The sequence below is a fragment of the Homo sapiens genome, chromosome 16, assembly GCF_000001405.40.
Source record: "Homo sapiens chromosome 16, GRCh38.p14 Primary Assembly".
NCBI classification, from domain to species: domain Eukaryota; kingdom Metazoa; phylum Chordata; class Mammalia; order Primates; family Hominidae; genus Homo; species Homo sapiens.
The window spans coordinates 27,431,595-27,455,499 of record NC_000016.10 but is presented as its reverse complement, the minus strand read 5'-3'; the positions used below and the strand labels follow the sequence as shown (position 1 = coordinate 27,455,499).

The window sequence follows — 23,905 nt, the reverse complement described above, 5'->3', positions numbered from 1 at the left end:
CTGGGGTTATGTGTTCGTTGAATCCCAGCAGAAAGCAGTGCAAGCTTCAAGGCATCTGGAGGGAAGCATTTATGAACTCTCTGGGAAGGAGATTGGGAAGGGCTGGGGCCACAGCCCTCTTCTCCTCTGACCTGGAGCCTAGCTCAAGGTGATGATAGAAAGACAACGCACCTCTGGCCGGGCGTGGTGGCTCACGCCTGCAATCCCAGCACTTTGGGAGGCTGAGGCGGGCAGATCACTTCAGGTCAGGAGTACGAGACCAGCCTTGCCAACATGGTGAAACCCCGTCTCTACTAAAAATACAAAAATTAGCCAAGTGTGGTGGCACGTGCCTATAATCCCAGCTACTCAGGAGGCTGAAGCAGGAGAATTGCTTGAACCTGGGAGGCGGAGGTTTCAATGAGCAGAGATCACGCTATTGTACTCCAGCCTGGGTGACAGTGTCAGACTCTGTCTAAAAACCAAACAACAAAAACAAAAAACAAACAAAAACACTAAGACAACTGACATCTAATAAGGGCTTGCTCCACCCTCTGTTTTCATTCCTGGAGCAAGCCAAGAGGCTGATTCCTAACCTCCACTTTATAAAAGAGAAAACTGAGGCGCAGCGACAGCAAATGACTTGCCCTTGGAGCCTGGTCTTCTGGGCCCTTTGAATGGGGTGATATGGTTTGGCTCTTTGTCCCCTCCAAATCCCATGTTGAACTGTGATTCTCAACGTTGGAGGTGAGACCTGCGGGGAGGTGATTCATGGGGGCAGACCCTCCTGAACAGCTTAGCACTATCCCCTTGGTGATGAGTGGGTTCTCGCTCAGTCACTTCATGGGAGATCTGGTGGGTTTGTTTGTTTGTTTTTGTTTTGTTTTGTTTTGTTTGAGACAGAGTATGGCTCTGTTGCCCAGGCTGGAGTACAGTGGTGTGATCTCGGCTCTCTGCAACCTCTGCCTCCTGGGTTCAAGCAGTTGTCCTGTCTCAGCCTCCCAAGCAGCTGGGACTACAGGCACAAGCCACCAAGCCCAGCTGATTTTTGTATTTTTTTTTTTTAGCAGAGATGGGGTTTCACCATATTGCTCAGGCTGGTCTCGATCTCCTGACCTCAGGTGATCCACCCACCTCGGCCTCCCAAAGTGCTGGGATTACAGGCGTCAGCCACCGTGCCCAGCCAATCTGGTTGTTTAAAAGAGTCTGGGACCTCCCACTTTGCTCTCTTCCTCCTACTCTTGCCAGGTGACACGCAGGCTCCCCCTTAGCCTTCTGCTGTGATTGGAAGCTTCCTGAGGCCTCACCCAGAATAAATGCTGGTGCCATGCTTCCTGCACAACCTGCAGAACTGAGAGCCAATTAAGCCTCTTTGTAAATTACCTAGACCCTGGTATTTCTCTTTTTTATTTTTTGAGACAGGATCTTTCTGTCGCTCAGCGTGGAGTGCAGTGGCGCCATCTCAGCTCACTGCAACCTCTGCCTCCCGGATTCAAGTGATCCTCGTGTCTCAGCCTCCTGAGTAGCTGGGATTACAGGCATGTGCCACCATGCCAGACTCATTTTTGTATTTATAGTAGAGACAGGGTTTTGCCATGTTGGCCAGGCTGGTCTTGAACTCCTAGCCTCAAGGGATCCGCCTGCCTCGGCCTCCCAAAGTGCTGGGATTATAGGCGTGATCCCAGCCTAGCCTGGTATTTCTTTATAGTGACACAAGGACTAATACAAGGTCCTTCCTTAGGATAGAAGGAGAGTCCTTACTGTGGGGATAATATCAGAATAATGCTAGAACACTTTCTGCTGCAAGGGACAGAAACCCACCTCAAACCAGCTTAAGCAAAAAAGGAAATTTATCAGCTCATTGATTCAGCTAGGGTAGGCAGGGTTATGCTGTGGTAACAAACAGCCCCATCTCAGCAGCTTAGAACAACAAAGGATTGATTCCTTGCTCACGATACACGTCTATCACAAGTGAACTGAAACTTCAGTCCGTATCTCCTTGCTCAAGGACCCAGGTGCCCAGGCAGATGGAGCAGTCACCATCATCATCTGTCTCTGTGACAGAGGAAAAACACCCCAGGGGGTGTGGTAGCCATCTGAAAAATGCTCTGCCCAGAAGTGAGACTTATCACTTCTGCTCACAACTGCCCAGTCCCAGCCAGTCACATGGCCCCATCTGGCTACAGAGGGTCAGGATGTACAATCCTGCCATGTGCCCAGCATATGGTGAACAGCATAATGACTTCCATACTCATGTATCTAAACGGTCCAGGAGAAACGTGGTTTCAGGCATGGCTGGATCCGGGATCTCAAGAGCTATTACCATCTCTCAGCTCTGCTTTCTTGTGTGTTTCTTGCTGCCCCTCCCAGTACCCTCCTTACAGCTTAGTAATCCCAGCAGAAAGAGAGCATGGACCAGCTAGGGTATGTCTGTCCCTAAACTGTACTGTTGCCAGGGGGAAGAAATGTCCTACTGGGCAGGCCTGGTTCACATAGCCACTCCCAGAGCTGGGGTCAGCCACGTCTCCAAACTGCTGCACAGGCAGATGCAGCAGGCACCCACGGCGTCTGCTAAACCTTCCTCACCTCTTGATCTAGGTACGTTCCAGCAGAGCAAGGTGAAAAAGAGCTGAAAGTGGCATCAGAAGCCCAGAGTTCTGGTTCCAGCTCCGACCACTCATTCAGTGTGTGACCTCAGGCAGGTCACCAGCCTGAGCTGTGCCTTCATTTCATCTGTCAGACGGATGACTCTGCCCCTCAGAGCTTGCAGACGGCAAGGTGAGGAATGCGGCAGCTGGGAAAGTGACGTTGCTATCGGTCCCCCTTCCTCTTCAGTGAGTCTTGTCAGCAATTCTGGCCTGGTCTTTGGAGGGCGAGGAGCGCCTGTCCCACTTGCTCCTGACCCTTGGTCGTACCTCCAGGCCTTTGTCCAAGCTCTTCCCTCTGCCCCAAATAGCTGGTACATGTAACAACGCCTATTCATTTTTCCTTTTTTTTTTTTTTTATGAGACGTAGTCTCGCTCTGTCACCCAGGCTGGAGTGCAGTGGTGTGATCTCTGCTCGCTGCAACCTCCATCTCTCAGATTCTCCTGCCTCAGCCTCCTGAGTAGCTGGGGTTACAGGCACCCGCCACCGCACCCAGCTAATTTTTGTATTTTTAGTAGAGACTGGGTTTCACCACGTTGCCCAGGCTGGTCTCAAACTCCTGACCTCTAATGATCTGCCCGCCTCGGCCTCCCAAAGTGCTAGGATTACAGTCATGAGCCACCACTCCCAGCCTCCTATTCATTTTTCGAAGTCCAACCAACACCACCTCCTCCCTGAAGCCCCCTACTCCTCTTGATGTTCTCTCTGGGCTACCATCGGTGAGCTGGGACTCACTCATACCAGCCAGGAGGGCAGATTGTGCATATCTCTTCCCAACTCTGTGTTTAGACTCAAATCAGGAGCATGAAATTACACCATGGAAATAAGCAAATGCTACAAATCAGGCTTTATTGAGTGCCTACTATGTGCCAGGCTGGGACTAAAGGCAGTGAACAAAATAGAGTTGCTGGCCTGGTATAACTTGTGTTTTATCTTTATCTTTGTTTCCAGTATGCATTTATCTCTGTCTATCCAACCAATCATTCTTCCTTCAAGCTTTTTATTAAAGCCATTAAGAGTAATATCAAAGACTTTTGCACCAACTTAATACCATCTTCCTATCCACCCACACATCCATCCATCCTCCATCCACCCTCCTACCTACTAATCCCTCCTTTCAGGTGAGCCAGCTCTTGTCTCCAACTTTTATTTTTAAGAGACAGGGTCTTGATCTGTGACCCAGGCTGGAGTGCAACGGTGTAATCACAGCTCACTGCAGCCTCAAATTCCTGGGCTCCAGCGATCCTCCCACCTTAGCCTCCCGAGTAGCTGGGACTATAGGCAAGCACCACCACACCTGGCTAATTTTTTTAAAAAATAATAATTTTTGTAGAGATGGGGCCTTGCTATGTTGCCCAGGCTGGTCTCGAACTCCTGGCCTCAAGTGATCCACCTTCCTTGGCCTCCCAAAGTGCTGAGATCACAGGTGTGAGCCACTACGCCCGGCCCTCCAACTTTGCTCCTCTGTGTTTATAAGCTGAGTTCCCTTCAAAGGTGGGATTCTGAGGAGCCTCATCTGCCCCAGTCCAGAGTCCCCCAATCTGGCCTCAGGCCTTCCCCAACCATCTGTGTTCCCCTCCGCCACCCAGCAAGCTCTGGGTGCAGGAGAGCTGTGCTGCTTTCCTGGGAGCCTGTGGCTCAGGTGGCACCCACAGGTGGCTCCTGGAACCTGTTGCCCCCAAGAAGGTGTGAAAACCACAGCACATCTGGACCCAAGAGTCCCTAGGGTGCAGGTGCACGGGGTGTTGAGGGCTGCGCCTGCTCCGTGCAGAAGCTGTGTTTCCACTCTTGTGCTCCCATCCAAGTCTCACACCCCCCGATCCCAGGCTCACAGTCCCACTCTTATAACCATCAGTGTTCTAGAACCTTCCAGCCTCCTGCCAGGCACCGAGGACTCTCATGCATTCTCTCAGCTACCTCTCCCAACCACCCCACTTCACAGATGAGTCACGAAGGAACCTTCCGCAGGACTGACCTGTGCTGACTTCCAACCCGACCCTGTTGCAAAAGCATGGGTGAGCTAGAGCTGGCTCCTCCAGCACAGCCCTGCAGCCTGCAGTCTGACCTTTGGGGAGGAAGACGGGGCCGGGCCAGGGTGGCCCCAGCTCTACTAAAAATACAAAAATTAGCCAGGCGTGGTGGTGTGTGCCTGTAATTCCAGCTACTCTGGGGCTGACGCAGGAAATCGCTTGAACCCGGGAGACAGAGGTTGCAGAGAGCCGAGATCGCACCACTGCATTCCAGCCTGGGCGACGAGAGTGAGACTCTGTCTCAAAAGAAAAAAAAAAAAAAGAAAAAGAAAATGTTGCTAAGAAATATTTTCTTAGCTTCTTAATTCACATTTCAACAGGTTCTCTGACAAATCATTGACAAACAACTTGACCTCCCTTCAATTCTCCAGGATGAACAAATAAGACAGGATTTATTGGCAGGATTGAATTGGGGCAGGGTAGGGGGCCCAGCAGGATGTGTGGCCGGAGCACACTGCATAGTTCCAACCTGCAGCCCCCTCCATGAGTGCCACGGGGGGTGGGTCCCATGAGCCATGGCCTGCTACGTAATTGGTGTTTAATAAATATCTCTTGGGTGCATAAAGGGAATTTTTAAAAACTTAGTAGCAGAAGTTAGAAAAAGAAATCTTGGTTGGTGGGGAGCTGTTTCCAAGAGACGAAACGGACTGATTTTAAGCCTGGAAACCCCCCCGAGTGGCCCTCTGCAGGCGGGACGGCCCCGCGGGTGCCCAGGCTGTCGCTGACGATTGATGTTCTCACCCCCGCCCGCCTCGGCTCTGGCCGCAGAAGGAAGGAAGCTGACGTTTATTGAGGGTCTGCTCTGGGCTGCGTACCGTACACGGGTGACATCGCCAATTTCCCCCAGGTGTGTCATGCCTTCCCCACTGTCTGGATAAGGAAACTCTAGCCCAGAGAGGGGAGGCGACTTGGCTCAGGTAGCACAGCCAGAAGGTATCAGAGTCGGGATTCAGACCTTCGTCCAGGGGCCGCCCAAAAAATTGCCATTCCCGAGGTCACCATGGGCTCACTCCATCCCCTTTCGCTTCCTGTTGGCAGGTGATAAGGAACAATATGGACTTCTTGCAGCTCCTGGAGGCAGACGCTGGAGGGCTGGGCTCCGCCTCAGTCACAGGCAATGCCCTGATCCCACAAAGCCCCGGAGATGCTGTGGACCAACTTGCAACACAAGACCCTAGGAGGGAGGACGGCTGTTGTCATCTGTTGACCACAAACACGTTTACTGTGCACACTTGTGCACATGGGTGAGCTCCGTGAGTCCAGACATGCACAGGGCAGGTGAATGCATGGAGTACCATGGGCATTATCCCAGGCCCACAGGCACGTGCAATCACACACACACGTGGACATGCCACTGCGCACCTAAGACACACACACACACACACATGCATATGCACACACACACATATGCACACACACACACAGACACTGTAAACATCAGGCTCAAAGGCCCATCCAGGAGACCAAAGGCTGCAGGTGTCTTCACATCACAGCCCAGGTGACCTTGTCTCTGGCTCAGGGCCCAGTGGCCTGGCCAGCTCTGGACATCCAGTCAGCCTCATTAGCTGGCCTGGGGTCCAGGGCTCGAAAGTGGCGGAGGAATGACCACCCACTGGCGGAGGTAGCTCCGGGGGGGTCCTTCGTCCCCGGGGCTGGTGAAGTCACACTCCACAGGGCTGCTGCAGTCAGAGCCCACAAAGCCACTGTCAAACGTGTCCATATCCAGGCCGGCCAGGGGTGAGCCCGCCTCACTCTCTGAGACCCCTCCAGGTGACCGGCCACCCCAGGGCAGTCCCCCAGCCCAGTCCTCCCCATCTGCAAGGGGTGGCTTTAGTCTGTCCAGGAGGCTTCCCAGGGGCCCTCCTAGCCCAGGGCTGCCAGCTGAGACACAGCCACAGGACAGGACTGTGGTCCCTGCATCCAAGAGTGGGTCCTCTAGGCCTGGGCTGGGCTCCAGGCCAGCATCCAGGTCCAGGGCTGGGTAGCCGTCATCCTCACAGCTGCAGGGCCAGGTGCATGGCCCCTCTGCATCTAGCACAGTCACTGTGTCAATGGACACCAGGCCGTATGGCCGATCCCTCTCCTCACTGTAAGCTGAGCCCCCCGAGTTCTGGGCTGTCGGCCAGAAGCTGGGCTTGGGCACACCGTCAGACTCCACCAGCTCTGCTGGTTCTTGTAGCTCCGTGAGCTGCAGCCTCTTGGCCGGGCTCCGTGGTGGGTGGCAGCTGTACACCTCCAGGGTGGAGGGCACCTCTGGGCTCCAGGGTCCCAGCTCCAGGCTGGAGCCAGTGAAGGGTGCACCCACCCATTTCTGTGAGAGAGAAAAAGAGAGAGTCATAGCACAGGATGAGGGTAAGGTGAGGGTTTATTTTTCTTTTACTTTTATTCTTTTGAGACAGTCTGGCTCTGCTGCCCAGGCTGGAATGCAGTGGTGCCATCTCGGTTCACTGCAACCTCTGCCTCCCAGGATCAAGTGATTCTCCTGCCTCAGCCTCCCAAGTAGCTGGGACTACAGGCGCCTGTCACCACACCCGGCTAATTTTTGTATTTTTAGTAGAGACGTGGTTTCACCATGTTGGCCAGACTGATCTTGAACTCCTGACGTCAGGTGATCCACCCGCCTCAGCCTCCCAAAGTGTTGGGATTACAGGCGTGAGTCACTGTGCCCAGCCAAGGTGAGGGTTTAAACAGACAGAAAGACAGACACAGACACAGAGACAAGACAAAGAGACATCAAGAGAGACAGACAGAGACATGAAGATAGACAAAGACACCGAGAGACAGAGAGAGAGAGAGGAATCAGGACCACAATGTGCTCCCACCCTAGTGGATCCCCCTCCTACTCTGGGCCTCAGTTTCCCTACTTGTAGAAGGGAGTTGCTACCCTTAGTAGTGTGACCAGTCAGACAACTGGTGGCCCCATAGTCCAGGCAGGGACCAAGATTCCTGAGTCAAGGAGACATGGGGGCAGGAGGGCCTGAGGTCTGAGGTACCCCTGAGCCATCTCCTGCTTTCCCGCCTCCTTGATGCTTCTTGAAACCTAGCACTCTCCTGGTTTATGTGTCCCCACCAGACAGACACTTGGCCCCCGGACATAAGTCTTGTCTCTTCTGTCCATGGCTGTAGCCCCAGTGCCTAGCACAAAGTAGGTGCTCAATAAATGTTTATTAACGAAATGAATGGGTGGAGTGGATCAATGAAAAGCCACTTGGAAAGGCCTTTGTACACTTTGAGGATAAAGGATGTGGGTGATGCTGGCTGAGGCGGTGGCCCTTAAACTTGAAGGACCCTCCCCTTCCCTCCCCTGCCAGGACTCCCACTCACGACACCAGAATCCTCATGCAATTGGCAAGGAAAATCCCCAGGAATGGGTATCTCCCTGTTTTGAGCTCATCTTCCTCAAAAACTCATCTCAGAACTGTGATGTGGCCACCACCACTGATTCAAAGTCGCTTCTCAGCTGTGTGCCCTTAAGCCAATTACTTACCCTCTCGGTGCCTCAGTTTCCTCATCTGTAAAATGGACCTAATAATAGCACCCACCCGTAGGGCCGTCGTGAGGATTAAATGAGTCACTGTTTGTGATGCTCCTAGGGGACTGCCTGGTATATAGCAAGTGCTATATGAGTATTGGTAAAAATCAACCCAAAATCAATGTGATATTTGAGCTTTAGGGAAGAGGAAAGGGTGGGTCTTATGTGGGTTGGGGTCCATGTTCCTCCCTGCCCACTCTTTGGCCTCCTCATGGGTGCCCTGGGGGCAGTGGAACATCCACTCTGCAGGGGCTGCTGTGAATATGAGAATGAGTGAGGCAGGAAGGGTGTCCAGCGCAGCACCAGGCAGACAGCAGGAGCTCAATCAATGGTCTAGGTCTACACTGTCTGACTTTCAGGCTGGGCTGCAGCAGGTGGGGCTGGCCCTCCCACCTCTGTCACCACATCCTCTCTGTGGCAGCCACTCCCACTGCTGCAGGGTGGGTGACACGGCTGTAAATGGGCACAGACAACCTGTGGGTGCTGGCGGGTGGTGGTGAGTTGGAGGCTTGGCAAATGTTAGTGTGTTTTGCCCCGTGGGCCAGGCTCTTTCCAGAACCTATTCCCTCTCCAACCCAGATTAAGGACACCTAAGAAAGGACCAGTGGGGCAATCTGTGACTCAGGAGACCACCAGCCTCACCCCCTATCCCAGTCTGGTTCCTTGGGCTGGGCCAATGCTGCATTATTTTGTTTACTTTTTCTTTTTGATTTTTTTTTTTTTAAGATATAGTCTCTGTCTGTTGGCCAGGCTGGAGGGCAGTGGTGTGATCATAGCTCACGGCAGCCTCTGAACGATCGTCCTGCCTCAGCCTCCCGAGTTGCTGGGACTACAGGCGTGCACCACCTCACTTGAATGATTTTTAAGTTTTTGGTAGAGATGGGGAGGCGGAGTGGTGGTGAGGGTCTCCCTATGTTGCCCAGGCTGTTTTTGAACTCCTGGCCTCAAGCAGTCCACTTGCTTTGGCCTCCCAAAGTGCTGGGATTGCAGATGTCAGCCACCACACCTGGTCAAATCTTGTTTAATTCTTCTGCCAATTCTGCACCACAAGAATGACTGTCTACACTTTGCACATGGGGAAACTGAGGCCTGGCTTGTGGCTTGGCTGAGACCTGGATGCTCTAGGCCTGTGGGGTGAGGCTGGGGAGCCTGGGGTGAGGGGAGGTGGGGCTCCTGAAGAGGAGGAGGGGCTCCGAGGAGCTCATCACAGGGTCGGGAGCTCACCTTGAAGTCTCCGCTGCAGCCCTTGTACAGGGGCATGAAGAACCGCTCAGGGCTGGGGACGGCCCATATCTTCTTCCATAGCCTGAGGGGGCAGAGAGGGGTGAGGACCCTGACATCACCAGAGGGCAGCCTGGCCTCCCATTCGGACGCTCCCCAGCTTCATCCTACAGGAGCTTCCGAGCATCCCAAGACTCAGCCCAGGCGCCTCCCTCCTTCCCTGGGGCTTGGTTTCCCCTTCTGTAAAATGGGAGAAGTAAGTCTCCCTCACAGGCTCCTGAAGGGATATCGTGGTTATGTTCTTGGCTGCCTGTTGCGTGCTGGGCAAATGTTGCCCCTTCTGAGCCTCAACTTCTTTATCTGCAACCAGGGGTGCGCAGAGAGGCCATTTCAGAGGTGTGGACTATTACAGCCACCTCTTCACCACCACCTAGTGGCCCCTTAAGCCCATTAAGCCTCAAAGCTTAAAATCCACTGGACAAGATCACAGCTGAGGTCCCTGTTTAAGGGCACAGATTTTCAATCCCAATTTCTCCACCTTGGAGCTGTGTGACTTTGTCCTTGACATCTCCTTGCCTCAGTTTCTCCATTTGTAAAATAAGGGCAACTGCAGTGTCTCAAGCTCATAGGGCAGCCATGGGGGTGAAGGGAGTGCCCTCCACAGTGTCCAGCACATGGTGGCTGTGAGTTGGTTATTATCCCATCATCATCATTGTTACCATGATGACAGTCATGTTTTCCAACCCTGCATGTATCATACAGGGGCAGTGGCCCAGGCTGACCACCTCCCTGCCTTCCTCATCCCCTGGCCTCACCTCCACAATGGATGGGTCTTCAGGCTCCAGAAGGCAGGAATGAAGACTATGACAAGCAGGAGGAGAAGCAGCAGGTGAGGGTTCCAGCCTTCCTTTAACTCTGGGAAGGAAGCAAAGAAAGGGTTAAATGGCACCAACTCTACCAGAGGCCATATGGGGTGGGCATGGTGGGAAATGGGTCTGGGGTAGAGTGGAAGAGGGTAGGAGAGGCTGTTACTGCTAGTGTCTTGAAGTGAGATGGATCTGGGTTCAAATCTTGTTCTCATTCCTCACCCCAGGCAAGTAACTTCATTTCTCTGAGCCTAAGTTATCTCGTCTGAAAAACAGGGCTGATTCCCACTTCAGAGTTAGGGGGATCAAATGCCTAACAGAAGAAGCAGCTGGCACCCAACAGGGCCTGGCCAGCAGGGGCTCTAGAAATGTAATTGAAGGGCTACATCTGAGGATGAACAACTGAATACCTCCCAGCTGTGCCAGAAAGCTCAGGGCTTAGGGTGGCTAGAACAGGACAAAATTTGATACCAGGAGTGGGGTGTCCATCCCAGCTTCACACCTACCCTCTGACTGGGTCTGAAAGATGACCGGGTCACTCCATTCACTCCAGGTCCCCTGGTAGGAGGAGCCAGGCATGGGCCCTGCCCGCACCTGCAGCTCATAGCTCGAGTCTTTGCGGAACTCCAGGGGGAGGAGGGAGACACTTCTTGAGTCCACTGAGATCAGCTTTCTCCTCGGACTCTGCCAGTACAAGGAAAGGATGCACCAGGTCAGGGTTAAACCAGGCCAGCCCCTGCCTCCAGCAGAGCCACCTCTTTTCCCAGCTTCCATCAAAGGGGCTGAGTGTCTCTTCTCTTCCCACAAGAATCAAGCCTATGCCTGAGTAGCTGGACTCAGGCATGGGGAGCACAGACTCACCAGCACTGCCTGGCCCGTGCATGTGATAGGATGCTCTGTTTGATTTCTCTTTGATCCAATTCAGCCACTCACAGTCCTGGCAGTGGACTCTCCCTGCAGGACTGGGCATATCTCAGGAGTGGTAATGGTCTGGCAGCATTCCAGGCAATGCATACTTTTGGAATTCTTCAACAGTTGAGGACATTCTCAACCGATGTACTACTGATATAAGTCTCAGTACATCAGTGGAGAATGTCTTCAACTGTTGAAGAATTCCAAGAGTTGACATACTGACATTCCCAACAGCAGGCATTTCTAGAACTCTAACTACAGACATCTTAGCAATGGATACCTCTGGAAGTCTTCCACTGGGGACTTTCTAAAGTATGGCACTCATGGACATCTTCAGCTGGGACTATCCTAAAGGATGGGCAATTCTAGAACTCTTCAGCTGTGACTGTTCTATCATTGTTACTATTTTTTATTTTTTAGAGACAGTACATCACTTGTGACTGTTCTAAATAGTGGGCTGGAAGGACATCACTCAACACCTTCATGTTTGAAACAATGGGCCCTCTAACACTGGACCTTTTTTTTTTTTTTGAGATCGAGTCTCACTCTGTTGCCCAGGCTAGAGTGCAGTAGCGCGATCCCAGCTCACTGCAACCTCCGCCTCCTGGATTCAAGTGATTCTCCTGCCTAAGCCTCCAGAATAGCTGGATTACAGGTGCATGTCACCACGCCTGGCTAATTTTTTGTATTTTTAGTAGAAACAGAGTTTCACCATGTTGCCCTGGCTGGTCTCAAACTCCTGACCTCAAGAGATCCACCTGCCTTGGCCTCCAAAGTGCTGGGATTACAGGCATGAGCCACCGCACCTGGCTGGACCTTCTTAATAATTGATATTTCTGGAACTCTCCAACTATGGCCATTCTAAGCAATTGGGAAGCTTCCAGGTTGCCCCATTTCTGAAACTTCTTCTATTGTGACTATGCTAGACCTGGGGTGGAGTCTGGGGAAGGGACAGTCTCTTTGGCATGCTGACCGCCGAGGAGACCAGTTTGGGGAGGACAGATTATTCAGGGGTCTCCTACCTTGGGGAGAAGTGAGGGGAGGAGGAGGGCCCGCTGTAAGGGAGTGCTCGTGCCCTTGGTCTCTGTTCTTGGCCATGAATGATGTTGTTCACCCGTCTCTCCCACCCAGATGCCTTTGCACTCCGTCATCTCCCCTCCCCTCCCACAAAGCTGCACTGATCCCCACATTCCTCACCACAGCCCAGGGGTCTCCCCGGTTCCTGTACTGCAGCTCATACTGAAGCTTGCCCTTCAGCATGTAGAAGGCAGGGTCTTCGTAATCTGAGCGCCAGGAGATATTATACTGTCCTGAGAAGGTCACAGTCACGTTGAAAGGGGGAGCCGGCTTGACTTGGTGGAAAAACCCAGGAAAAGAAAATGGGGTGAGAATTTGCTGCAGGTGAAAAGGATTTGGTGATGGGAGGAAGTCCTGCCTGCCCCCACCCCTGCCTCCATGCCTGACCCATCATGGATGAGATGAAGACCAACAACCCTGAGTGACTTTGGGCAAAGTACTCCCAACTCTGGGCTTCAGTTTATTCATCTGGGACCTGGGAGATTTAGACCTGATCAGGATTGCAAACTCAGGGGCGGGCAGGTCACAGAGAGGAGTGAAGCAGGTTTAGGGACTGTGACGAAATAAAACAGTCTGGCTGGGTGCAGTGGCTCATGCCTGTAATCCCAGCACTTTGGAAGGCCAAGGCAGGTGGGTCACGAGGTCAGGAGATCGAGACCATCCTGGCTAACACGGTGAAACCCCATCTTTACTAAAAATACAAAAATTAGCCGGGCGTGGTGGCGGGCGCCTGTAGTCCCATCTACTCGGGAGGCTGAGGCAGGAGAATGGCGTGAACCCGGGAGGCAGAGCTTGGAGTGAGCCAAGATTGCGCCACTGCACTCCAGCCCGGGCGACAGAGCGAGACTCCATCTCAAAAACGAACAAAAATAAATAAATAAAAGAGTTAAAAGTGAATGGCCCCAGCAGCACAGAGTGGTCAGCTTTTCTAAGTTTTCTAGGGAAACACACACGCACATGCCTACACACACGCATACACAAACACATGTGCACATGCACACCCACACACATGCATGCCCACACATGCACACCCAAACGCATGCCTACACATGCAACACACATGCACACGCACAGCATGCACACACACAAATGCACACGCACACACATGAAATCTGAAACCCTGCTTTCTATGCACTGAAGGGCAAGTTTCAATATGAGGTGCAGAATGGGAAACGGGAGACCCCTGGAATTATCATGTGAAATCTCCAAGGGTTTTTTCCCCCTAGAGACAGGATCTCACTGTGTTGCCCAGGCTGGAGTGCAGTGGTGCGATCATAGCTCACTAGCAGCCTCAACCTCCTGGGCTCAAGCCATCCTCCCACTTCAGCCTCCCAAGTAGCTGAGACTACAGGTGGATGCGACCACACTTGGCTAATTATTTGTCTGTTTTGTAGAAATGGGGTCTCACTATCTTTGCCCAGGCTGGTCTCAAACTCCTGGCCTCAAGTGATGCTCCCACCTCAGCCTCCCAAAATCCTGGGATTGCAAGAACAAGCCACTGCACCTGGCCTATATTAAGTTTTAAAGTTAGCAACCCATCCAAAAATGTTCTCAGCAACGTGCTGGCAAATCCATTCATTTTCCATTTCTGTTCTAAATGATGGTATCATTTTCTTTCAACCCCAGCTACTTCAAGCAGTTGATGACTCTTCTTAGCATGAATGCTAATGGTGAGGGCTGCCATTTACACAGAGCCTGCCTGGCTGCCCTGCTCTGGGCAGTTTGACACCCCACAGTGGCCCTGGGAGGCCAATCTGATGGTCCTCATCTTTCAGCGTCTCCTGGCAAGTGCAAGAGCCGAGCTCTGAGCCATAACAGCAAGCTTTCATGGGCGGCCTCCAGGTGAAGGTCAAAGCCGGCATTCTGTTTTTGCTCCATTCGAAGGACATTTCATGAACTTGAGCAGAACACAATATGTTAAGGGCCTTAAATTCCTCTCTTGTAAAATGGGCTCAGTTCCTATATCATGGGGCTTCAAGTTCAAAGGGATGAAGCTATTTAGCAGAAGGCAGTAACTTCAGAGGAACTGAGTGACAAGTGTCTATTAGTGTCAGAGAGGAGTTGCAGGCCTCTGCCCTCACCTTCTCCACTTTTTCTTTTTTTGTTCTCCTTCCTTCCTTCCTTTCTCCCTCCTTCCCTCCCTCCCTCCCTTTCTTTTTTCTCTTCTTTCTTTTTTTTTTTTTTTTTTTTGAGACAGAATCTCTGTCACCCAGGCTGGAGTGCAGTGGCGTGATCTCAGCTCACTGCAGTCTCCACCTCCCAAGCCCAAGCGATTACACGGCCTCAGCCTCCCAAGTAGCTGGGACCATAGGTGCGCACCACCATGACTGGCTAATTTTTGTATTTTTAGTAGAGAAGTAGTTTCCCCATGTTGGCCAGACTGGTCTTGATCTTCTGACCTCAAGTGATCCACCCACCTCAACCTCCCAAAGTGCTGGGACTACAGGTGTGAGCCACCACACCCAGCCACCTTCTTCACTTTCAATCTGCCACCATCTAACACTCTGCACCTCTCACCCTGTGATTTTGTTTACTATGTGCCTCCCTCACTGGGCTCTTAGCTCCTTGGGGCAGAGGTTTTGTCCTCCAGGTTCAGTCTGTGCCCACAGCTCCTAGAACACAGCCTGGGGCACAGTAGGCCCTCAATAAATATTTGGCAAATTAGGCTGGGCAAGGTGGCTCATGCCAAAAATCTCAGCACTTTGGGAGGCTGAGGTGGGAGGATTGCTTGAGGCCAGGTGTTCAAGACCAGCCTGGACAACACAGCAAGATCCCAGCTCTACAAAAAATTTAAAAATTAGCCAGGATGGTGATGTGCACCTGTAGTCCCAACCACTCAGGAGGCCGAAGTGGGAGGATCGCTTGAGCCCAGGAGTTCCAGGCTGCAATGAGCTATGGTTGTGCCACTGCACCCCAGGCTGGAGGACAAAGCTACACCCTGGCGCGCGCTTGCTCGCTCTCTCTCTCTCTCTCTCTCTCTCTCTCTCTATATATATATATATATATATATATATTTGTCAGATTAACTAATGAACCTTGCAAGGCCTCCAGAAAGGAGCTCTAAGGCTGCCTGTGATCCTGAAACCCGCACTGAGGGCTCCCACCACGCCCCGAGGTGACAGAGGTGCACATTTTACAGAATGCCATGGTGAACACTGGGTTGTTGCTGTTGCTGTTCCAGTAATGGGATGTTTTTGACTGAAATCGTTTCTAACCCCTCTTTTGTCTTCCCCGGGGCAGGTGGAGGCCGGCTCTCGGCTTCCCTGTGTGGCTGGGTGAGGATGAGTCCCAGAAGACACCAGGGTACTGAGAACTGCCCCGTGGGTACTCGGGAGATGTTTGCAGAGCCTGGGGGTCGTGAAGAGGGGCTGCTCAGCCCAGCGAGGCCCAGGGCCCAGGAGGAGGAAGGGACCCTCGGCGGGAGGTGGTTAGAAAATCACTTCCTGCCCCAGCTGGGACCAGGCTAGCTGCAGATCCTGGCAGGGAGGGAGGGAATGCCAGAGAGAAATGCTTGGATTCACGCTGCAAGACAAGTGGCAAGGAGGGTCCCCTTGTGAGTCTGTGCATGTGTGAGTGTGTGCATGTGTGCCCGTGAGTAATGTGTGTGTCTGTGCATGAGTGTACACGTGTGTGAGAATGCATGTGTGAGTGTGTGCATATGTGTGCCCGTGTGTGATGTGAGAGTGTATGAGTATGTGTATATGTGCGTGTGTGCACACGTGTGAGAAAGTGTATATGTGTGTGCATGTGTGAGTCTACACGTGTGTGAGAATGCATGTGTGAGTGTGTGCGTGTGTGTGCCCATGTATGAGTGATGTGAGAGTATATGTGTGAGTGTGTGTGTATTGTGTACGTGTGTGTGTGTGTGTGTGTGTATGTATGTGTGAGTGTGTATGAGAGTGAGAGAGAGCAAGAGAGAGAGGCAGTGTGGGCCTCTGTGTCCATGCCATGCAGGCTGGGGCTGGGGAGACATCTGTGAGTTTGAGGGCGCATCTATGAGTCTGTGTGTGCGTGAGTCTGTGACCCTGGGAATTTGCGTGAGTGTGCATGTGTCTGGGAGTGTGTGAAGCTTCACTCTCACGCTCTGTGGTGTGACATCCACTCAGCAAAGAGGTGCAAACCTGGACCCCCAGAGTGTGAATCACAGACACCTCTTATACCCCAGCCCCTCTGCTGGGAATCTAGCGGCAGAAACTCCCGAGCTCATGGGCGGGGCCTTCCTGAGGGCAGGCTCCCTTTGCAGCCTGTGTTTGCCTCTGGGGCCGCTTTGGGTACACACATACACACACACACACACACACACACACCATGCCAAAGCCACCTCCCAGGCCCTTCCATGCCCTGCCTAGTTCTGTTTTGTTTTGTTTGAGACGGAGTCTCACTCTGACGCCCAGGCTGGAGTGCGGTGGCATGATCTTGGCTCATTGCAACCTCTGTCTCCCAGGTTCAAACAATTCTCCTGCCTCAGCCTCCCGAGTAGCCGGGATTACGGGCGTGTGCCACCACGCCCGGCAAATTTTTTTGTATTTTTAGTAGAGATGGGGTTTCACCATGTTGCCCAGGCTGGTCTCGAACACCTGACCTCAAACGATCCACCTGCCTCAGCTTCCCAAAGTGCTGGGATTAGAGGCGTGAGCCACAGTGCCTGGCCCCTGCCCTGGTTCTTGTTTTGTGTTTTGAGATGAGGTCTCGCTATATTGCCCAGGTTGGTCTTAAAGCCCCAGGTTCAAGCAATCCTCCTGCCTCAGCCTTCCAAAGTGTTGGAATTACAGGCATGAGCCACCTCGCCCTGCCACCTGCCCTAATTCTGAACTCACAGATAAAACTGCTCCCACCAACCAGGCCCTCCTGCCCCTGGGACCCCCCTCTACCTCCAGCCTGGAGGGAAATTCCAGGCCTCCCTGGAGCTTATGAAGGGGAAAAAACCCAAGAGGGTTTTTTTTTTCTGTAACTCAGTGTCGTCCATTCGCCTCATTATGGGGTCAGGATCCCAGAAAGTCAGGGTTAAAAGGACATTTGCTCTACAAATAGGGAAGCTGTCCCAGAGGTAGGTATGCCTCATCCATGGTCACACAGATGGGCAGAGCTGAGCCGGAACACGAACCCAGAAGTCCCGGGTCCCAGCCTAGCTCCTTCAATACCTCTCAAACCTATTATCAACCTTTCACACTTTAGTAAAAAATAGCGCAACTCAAAACAGAACTCTAAGGTGTAGTGAGGACATAGGCCAGGTCAGATCTGATGGAAGGAGGAGAGCTGGCCCAGAGGGCAGGGAGTAGGGGACCCAGCCCCTACCTATAATCCTAGCACTTTGGGAGGCCAAGGCAAGTGGATCGCTGGAGCCCAGGAGTTCGAGACTGGCCTGGGCAACATGGCAAGATCCCCGTCTCTACTAAAAATACAAAAATTAGCTGGGTGTAGTGGTGTACACCTGTTGTCCCAGCTACACGGGAGGCTGAGGTGGGAGGATCACCTGAGCCCAGAGAGGTCAGGGCTGCGGTGAGCTAAGATTGAGTGCCACCCTAAGCCTGGGGTCCCAGGATACTCACTGCTCTCAGCCAGGAGAAAGCTGCCACACTCCTGGGAGTAGTTGCCAGACTGGTCTGTGATGTTGACACTGAAAATGTCGTCGGCCATGAAGTGGAATACATCCATGTGGCAGGTGTAGGTGGCATGCGTGGCATTGTGGGCCGACCTGTGGAGGCTGCAGGAGGTGGCCTCGTCCTTCAGCTCTTCATACTGGTCTTGCCTTCAAGGACAAAGCAGCCGGTCATGGCTGGAAGCCAGGGGCAGGGGGGATGGTGGTGGGCTCAGTGCTCAGGGCCAGGGCAGAAGCCCAGACTCTCAGGGCTGGGAGGGATTTGAGGCAGGGCTGGGGGGTGGTCACCTGGTCCAACCAACCTTTTCCCAGGGAAGGTATCACCTCCCCTACAGCATCCTCAATGAATTGTGTCCGGGCTCAGCTTGCACACCTCCCAGGGGCCAGGAACTCACTACCTCATTTAGGGCAGCAGCTCTCAATTTTGGAAATTTGGGCCATTCTTGCTTGGACTAAGCCTAAATCTGTCCCTGTTGGTCCCAACAACCAGATGGCTGTCCTGCAGGAAGGGCGCTAGGCATTTTGGGTTTCCTTCTCTCCTTTCTGTCCAACATCCATTTTTTTGAGACAGGGTCTCACTCTGGCCCCAGGCTGGAGTATAGTAGTGTGATCATGGCTTACTGCAGCCTCGACCTTCCCAGGCTCAGCTGATCCTCCCACCTCAGCCTCCTCAGTACCTGGGACTACATGCATGCACCACCATGCCCAGCTAACTTTTTGTATTTTTTGTAGAGATGGGGTCCCACCATGTTGCTTAGGCTGGTCTCAAACTCCTGGGCTCAAGTGATCTGCCAGCCTTGGCCTCCCAAAGTGCTGGGATTACAGGACTGAGCCACCTCGCCCAGTCCCCAAATCCACTGAATATCTAATAATAGCCTGTGCTGAGGGCCAGGAAAAGAGCTAAATGAACCTCATCTCCTCCTCTGGGTGGACTTCTGGGAAAGTTGGTGGGATGGGATTAGGGAAAATGCTGTGGCTTTTTAACTCCCACTGGACAAAAATGATGGGTTTTGAAGTATGTATAGTAGTTTACCGGATATTAATTTCCCTACCTAGATGTTCAGGATCTGAACATGACCACTCTCTAGGCCCAGTAGGGATGTGTGGACTGAGTTCTCTGCCAAATTTGCTGGAATACAAGTTCCTGCTGAATAAATGCTCTCCAAGCCTCCCAGCCTGAACTTGCTCCTTATTCCCCCTCACCCTGCCTCACTCCACTCCAGCCACACTGACCTCCTCCCTATTCCTCAAACGCACCAGCTCTTCTCCCACAGGGCCTTTGCACTGGCAGTGCCCTCTGCCCAGCTCCCTGGCTTCCTCCTTCTCACTAGCAGTTGTGGTCCCTTTACCTGAGGTCCAGTGTTCTGTCCTTGATATAGCACCCAGTATTATTAGAAAGTATCCTGTTTGGGGCAGAACACGGTGGCTTATGCCTGTAATCCCAACACTTTGGGAGGCTGGCCATGCGGCAGACCGGCCATCCCGGGGTCTCAAAACCATGGGCGACCTGTGTGGGCGAGAGAGTGGTCTTTGAAGCTGGTGGATAGACCAACCCTGCGGGCTCCTGACTTTTCAAGTCCTGTGAGCCCTGAGTGGTTGTCTGAAAGGCGGGTACAGTGGGCGGATCACTTGAGGCCAGGAGTTCGAGACCAGGTGGGCTAACATGACAAAACCCTGTCTCTACTTAAAATACAAAAATTAGCCAGGCATGGTGGTGCACACCTGGATGCAATCCCAGATACTTGGGAGGTTGAGGCAGGAGAATTGCTTGAACCCAGGAGGTGGAGGTTGCAGTGAGCCGAGATCATGCCACCGCACTCCAGCCTGGGCAACAGAGTGAGACTCCGTCTCCAAAAAAAAGAAAGAAAGAAAGTGTCCTGTTTGGGCCTGGCATGGTGGCTCACACCTGTAATCCCAGCACTTTGGGAGGCTGAGGTGGGCAGATTGCTTGAGCCCAGGAGTTTGAATCCAGCCTGGGTAACATGGCAAAACCCTGTCTTTACAAAAACTACAAAAATTATCCAGGTATGGTGATGCATGCCTGTAGTCCCAGCTACTCAGGAGGCTTAGGTGGAGGGATTGCTTGAGCCCAGGAGGTCAAGGCTACAGTGAGTTCTGATCCCACCACTGCACTCCAGCCTGGGCAACAGAGCAAGACCCTGTCTCAAAAAAATAAAATAAAATAAAATAAAATAAAATAAAAAAGAGAAAGCACCTTGTTGGTTGTTTTGTGTGTCTGTCTCCCCCAGCCTCCGCCCCACCGTGGTACGTCAGTTCCAAGGCATCTGGGGCCTGGTCAGTCTTGCTCTGCTGAATCCCCAGTGCCTGCAACAGTGTCTGGCAGGAACTTAATACATGTTTTGTTTTGTTTTGTTTTGTTTTTGAGTTGGGATCTTGCTTTTTTGCCCAGGCTGGAGTGCAGTGGCGTGATCATAGCTCACTGCAGCCTCGACCTCCTGAGCTTGGTCCCCCTGCCTTAGACTCTCAAGTAGCTGGGATTACAGGATTGTGCCACCACGCCCGACTGATTTATTTTTTGTAGAGACAGGGTTTTGTGATGTTGCCCAGGCTGGTCTCAAACTCCTGGGCTCAAGTGATCCTCCTTCCTTGGCCTCCCAAAGTGCTGGGGTTAGAAACATGAGCCACTGCACCTGGCCTATAAATGGTTTTGAATGAATGAATGAGCTGATGGATAACAGAAGCTCTTCTTTATCCTGAGCTGCATAGGGTCTAAAAGGGACCCATGGACTTTGGAGTTGGGCGGTCTGAATTTGAATCCCAGCTCCAGCATTCACTGGCTGTGTGACCTTAGGCAAGTTGCTTAACCTCTCTGAACCTCAATGTCCTCATCTGTAAAATGGGAGTAATCATTGTGAGGGTTGGGGGTGACCATTCATGGGAAGCGTGTAGTTGGGGGCCTGGTACCTAAGTGCTTGAAAAATCATGCGGGAAACCAGCCATCCCGGGGTCTCAAAACCATGGCCGACCTGTGTGGGTGAGAGAGTGGCCTTTGAAGCTGGTGGATAGACCAACCCTGCGGGCTCCTGACTTTTCAAGTCCTGTGAGCCCTGAGTGGTTGTCTGAAAGGCGGACACAGTGGTCCTCAGTGCACAGTGTCCTCCTGGGGGAATCACTGAGCAGGCACCCTGAATTGCATCCCCGGGGACTGGTGAGGCCCGGCTACTTACCAGGTAAGGGTGAGCGTGCTGGGGTGGAGGTTCCACATTTCCAGGATGCAGATGACCGTCTGGAGGTAATCGGTGTAGCAGACGAGGTCGGGGCAGCCCCAGCCTGGAGGGTCAGTGGGGAGAGAGGCCTTGGTGGGGGGTGGCTTGGGACTGCAGAGCTTCCTCTCCATCCCCTCGAGGGCTGGAGGAAGAATGGGTGCAGGGGTCCCCAGGCCGGGACAAATATGAGGACTCAGGAGCTGCTTAGATGTAGGCCTGGCACCCAGGGGGCCTCACCACCTGGAAATTCCTTGTTTGAGCACCAATGTTTCAAGGCTGGCTATGAAGACAGGATGCATGTGATGGCAAATAATATAAAACTAGCTGGTCCCCAGCTCAGCACCCTCCTCCAGAGCCCTGCGCCCGGCCACCAGGTCTGTGTCCCTCCTGGCCAAGCTCCCACTCAGAATGGCAATATCCTAAATGCCCCAGATGTGGTAGGAACCCAGCCAGAGCACACGCACACACCCCAAGAGGGTCAGGACCTCATAGAGTCAAGGACAGCTATGCTGAAAATGTCCCAAAACCCTGACAAGGAAGAGGACTCGGCTCTACAGAAGTTGGATCCACAGGACACCCACTCTCGGAGATTCAGGAAGTGCTTCAAGGAGTAGGAAACCGTGAGAGAATTAAAAAGCCCTCGGACACTTTTGCATAAAGGTCTGCGTGATCCTGCGGCCAAAAATGCCACCGCCACCAAGAAGTCTTCTAGGTATTGCCCTATGAGGCAATTTTGTTGGAAGATTTAACACCTTTCCATCCTGCTCCCCAAACATTAATTGTTTCGCTGTGTTCTAAAACAGGGGTGCAATCATCATCTACATTTTGTTAAATGTGGACAAAATCAATGGAATAATTTGTAGCTTTGTTTTGTATATTCGAGTGCCAATTCCACTATTTTTTGCTGCTATTTACTAGAAACTTGTACCGCTCACCTCTTTTTGAGATAGGATCTCTTGCTCTGTTGCCCAGGCTGGAATGCAGTGGTGCGATCTCAGCTCACTGCAGCCTCCACCTCCTGGGCTCAAGCAGTCCTCCCACTTCAACTTCCTGAGTAGCTGAGACTACAGTTGTGCACCACCATGCCTGGATAATTTTTGTGTTTTTGTAGAGACAGGGTTTCACCATGTTGCCCAGGCTGGTCTCAATCTCCTGAGCTCAAGCGATCCACCTGCCTCAGCCTCCCAAAGTGCTGGGATTGTAAGAATGAGCCATCGTGCCTGACCTTGTTCCCCTTTTTAAGTAGGTTCATTTTTGGTGGCTTTTTCCTATTTTCCCTGGACTAATGAAGACCCCTGAGGTGGTGGTGGTAGATTCCCTTCCTGGGTCTCACTCTAGGACAGAACCTATATGCGGAGCCAAGAATACTGTGTCTGGAAATATCCTTTAGTTCATTGTAGAGATGAGAACACTGAGGCTCCAAGACTAGACCATGCCTCTTGTCTCTCTTGGTCTGGGCTGCTGAGACACTCACCCAGGGAAGGAAATACCTAGTCTGTGCTAGTTTTTCATAGCCGCACACATGACAGATATTGCTAATGGATCACAGCACTCCCTCCCCTAGGTGTGACCTCGGAATGCTTCTCAACTTCTCTCGAGGCAGTGGCTACCAAGGGATCTGAGTCATGGAAGTAAATCTTGCTCTAGGAGGGGGCTTTCCTCAGGGAGACACACAGAACTTGTCGGTGGAGTGAAAAGGAGCTAGTTCCAGCACTTGGTGGAGAAAACAGGACTGATTTTGGCAAAACCTCAACACAGAGCCTCTAAGTAGCTGTGTCATCTCTGAGTTCGTATCCTCGTGGTTCTTTCTCAGAGCTCTGGGAATTTGGAGAGGAGCTACCATTCCTAGCCAGGCTCAAAGCTACCAAGGGACAGGGTTTGTCTCCAAACTTGGGGAGGCAACGGCAGCCCCTGAGTGGCAGGGAGGTGGCACCAGGGATGAGAGGGTGGGAAAATGCCCTGTCAGTACCCCAGCCACAGGGCAGAGAGCCCCAGGGCCATCCCATGTCTGGGGTTATGAAAGCGTGCAGGAGGCAGTGAGAGGTGCACAAAGTAGCTCTGTGACTGCAAACATGTGACTCAAAACTGCTTCTCCTCCCCATGTGTAAGCCGGAGACACTGCTTGCCCTAGAGGCTGTTGAGGTGTTGAGATGAGATCATGCCTGTGCCTGCATGCTGCCCGCACATGGCTATCACTCCACAGATAGCAGCACAGCATGGTGAAGGCCGTGCTACGGTTTGACGTCTGTGTCTCCCCAGAAACTCAGTTGCCAATGTGATCATATTAAAAGGTGGGGACTCTAGGAGATGATTAAGTCATGGGGGCAGAGCCCCCCTGAATGAATTATTGATGCTATAAGAGGGCTGGACGAACCCAACATTCAGACCCTTTTTGCCCTTCTGCCATGTGAGGATGCAGCGTGTGTCCCCTCTGGGGGTGGTGCAGCGTTCAATGTGGCATCTTAAAGGCAAAGATGGGGGCTGGGTGCGGTAATCCCAGCACTTTTGGGAGGCCGAGGCGGGTGGATCATTTGAGGTCAGGAGTTCAAGACCATCCTGGCCAACATGGTGAAACCCCAACTCTACTAAAAATACGAAAATTAGCCATGGCATGTGCCTGTTATCCCAGCTGCTCGGGAGGCTGAGGCATGAGAATTGCTTGAACCTGGGAGGCAGAGGTTGCAGTGAGCCAAGATTGCACCATTGCACTCCAGCCTGTGTGAGAAAGCAAGGCTCAGTCTCAAAAAAAAAAAGCAAAGATGGGCCCCTCACCGGAATCAAAGCTACTGCTGGTGCCTTGATCTTGGACTTCCCAG

The 23,905-nt window shown here is 52.4% G+C and overlaps 1 protein-coding gene and 2 long non-coding RNA genes across 8 annotated transcripts in view, besides 8 other annotated features; 2 read left to right on the top strand and 1 right to left on the bottom strand.

Moving 5' to 3' along the window:
* Nucleotides 1-2,106: 2,106 nt before the first annotated feature.
* IL21R-AS1 (IL21R antisense RNA 1) lies at nt 2,107-7,831 on the top strand. The gene is made up of 3 exons (NR_037158.1): nt 2,107-2,403; nt 2,578-2,757; nt 5,694-7,831. It is a non-coding gene; the product is annotated as an IL21R antisense RNA 1 (long non-coding RNA).
* Nucleotides 2,600-2,699: an enhancer, noted in NCBI's record as "active region_10631". NCBI's record gives its function as "activates an Ori minimal core promoter by ATAC-STARR-seq in GM12878 lymphoblastoid cells {active_cell/tissue: GM12878}" and the evidence as "EXISTENCE:reporter gene assay evidence [ECO:0000049][PMID:35858748]".
* Nucleotides 3,458-23,905, bottom strand: part of IL21R (interleukin 21 receptor) — a 49,869-nt gene continuing 29,421 nt past the window's right edge. For 5 of the 6 annotated variants that reach the window (XM_011545857.4, NM_181079.5, XM_017023257.3 and 2 more), the window contains 7 exons: nt 21,051-21,153; nt 17,813-18,012; nt 12,384-12,538; nt 10,781-10,958; nt 10,224-10,323; nt 9,412-9,493; nt 3,458-6,966 (listed from right to left, as the gene is read on the bottom strand). In XM_011545857.4, coding sequence (XP_011544159.1) covers nt 6,217-6,966; nt 9,412-9,493; nt 10,224-10,323; nt 10,781-10,958; nt 12,384-12,538; nt 17,813-18,012; nt 21,051-21,153 — 1,568 coding nt within the window. In that variant the 3' untranslated portion in view covers nt 3,458-6,216. Of the gene's footprint in view, nt 6,967-9,411; nt 9,494-10,223; nt 10,324-10,780; nt 10,959-12,383; nt 12,539-17,812; nt 18,013-21,050; nt 21,154-23,905 lie in introns of those variants that run through there. The other variant, XM_047434180.1, reaches the window with a different exon arrangement.
* Nucleotides 4,735-4,884: an enhancer, noted in NCBI's record as "active region_10630". NCBI's record gives its function as "activates an Ori minimal core promoter by ATAC-STARR-seq in GM12878 lymphoblastoid cells {active_cell/tissue: GM12878}" and the evidence as "EXISTENCE:reporter gene assay evidence [ECO:0000049][PMID:35858748]".
* Nucleotides 5,115-5,992: an enhancer, noted in NCBI's record as "H3K4me1 hESC enhancer chr16:27460829-27461706 (GRCh37/hg19 assembly coordinates)". NCBI's record gives its function as "activates a minimal SCP1, AML or CMV promoter by ChIP-STARR-seq in naive H9 embryonic stem cells {active_cell/tissue: H9 hESC(naive)}" and the evidence as "EXISTENCE:reporter gene assay evidence [ECO:0000049][PMID:30033119]".
* Nucleotides 5,225-5,274: an enhancer, noted in NCBI's record as "active region_10629". NCBI's record gives its function as "activates an Ori minimal core promoter by ATAC-STARR-seq in GM12878 lymphoblastoid cells {active_cell/tissue: GM12878}" and the evidence as "EXISTENCE:reporter gene assay evidence [ECO:0000049][PMID:35858748]".
* Nucleotides 5,295-5,454: an enhancer, noted in NCBI's record as "active region_10628". NCBI's record gives its function as "activates an Ori minimal core promoter by ATAC-STARR-seq in GM12878 lymphoblastoid cells {active_cell/tissue: GM12878}" and the evidence as "EXISTENCE:reporter gene assay evidence [ECO:0000049][PMID:35858748]".
* Nucleotides 6,255-6,494: an enhancer, noted in NCBI's record as "active region_10627". NCBI's record gives its function as "activates an Ori minimal core promoter by ATAC-STARR-seq in GM12878 lymphoblastoid cells {active_cell/tissue: GM12878}" and the evidence as "EXISTENCE:reporter gene assay evidence [ECO:0000049][PMID:35858748]".
* Nucleotides 6,795-6,854: an enhancer, noted in NCBI's record as "active region_10626". NCBI's record gives its function as "activates an Ori minimal core promoter by ATAC-STARR-seq in GM12878 lymphoblastoid cells {active_cell/tissue: GM12878}" and the evidence as "EXISTENCE:reporter gene assay evidence [ECO:0000049][PMID:35858748]".
* Nucleotides 10,165-12,845, top strand: LOC124903668 (uncharacterized). Its single transcript, XR_007065031.1, has 2 exons — nt 10,165-10,297; nt 12,389-12,845. It is a non-coding gene; the product is annotated as an uncharacterized LOC124903668 (long non-coding RNA).
* Nucleotides 16,107-17,052: an enhancer, noted in NCBI's record as "H3K4me1 hESC enhancer chr16:27449769-27450714 (GRCh37/hg19 assembly coordinates)". NCBI's record gives its function as "activates a minimal SCP1, AML or CMV promoter by ChIP-STARR-seq in naive H9 embryonic stem cells {active_cell/tissue: H9 hESC(naive)}" and the evidence as "EXISTENCE:reporter gene assay evidence [ECO:0000049][PMID:30033119]".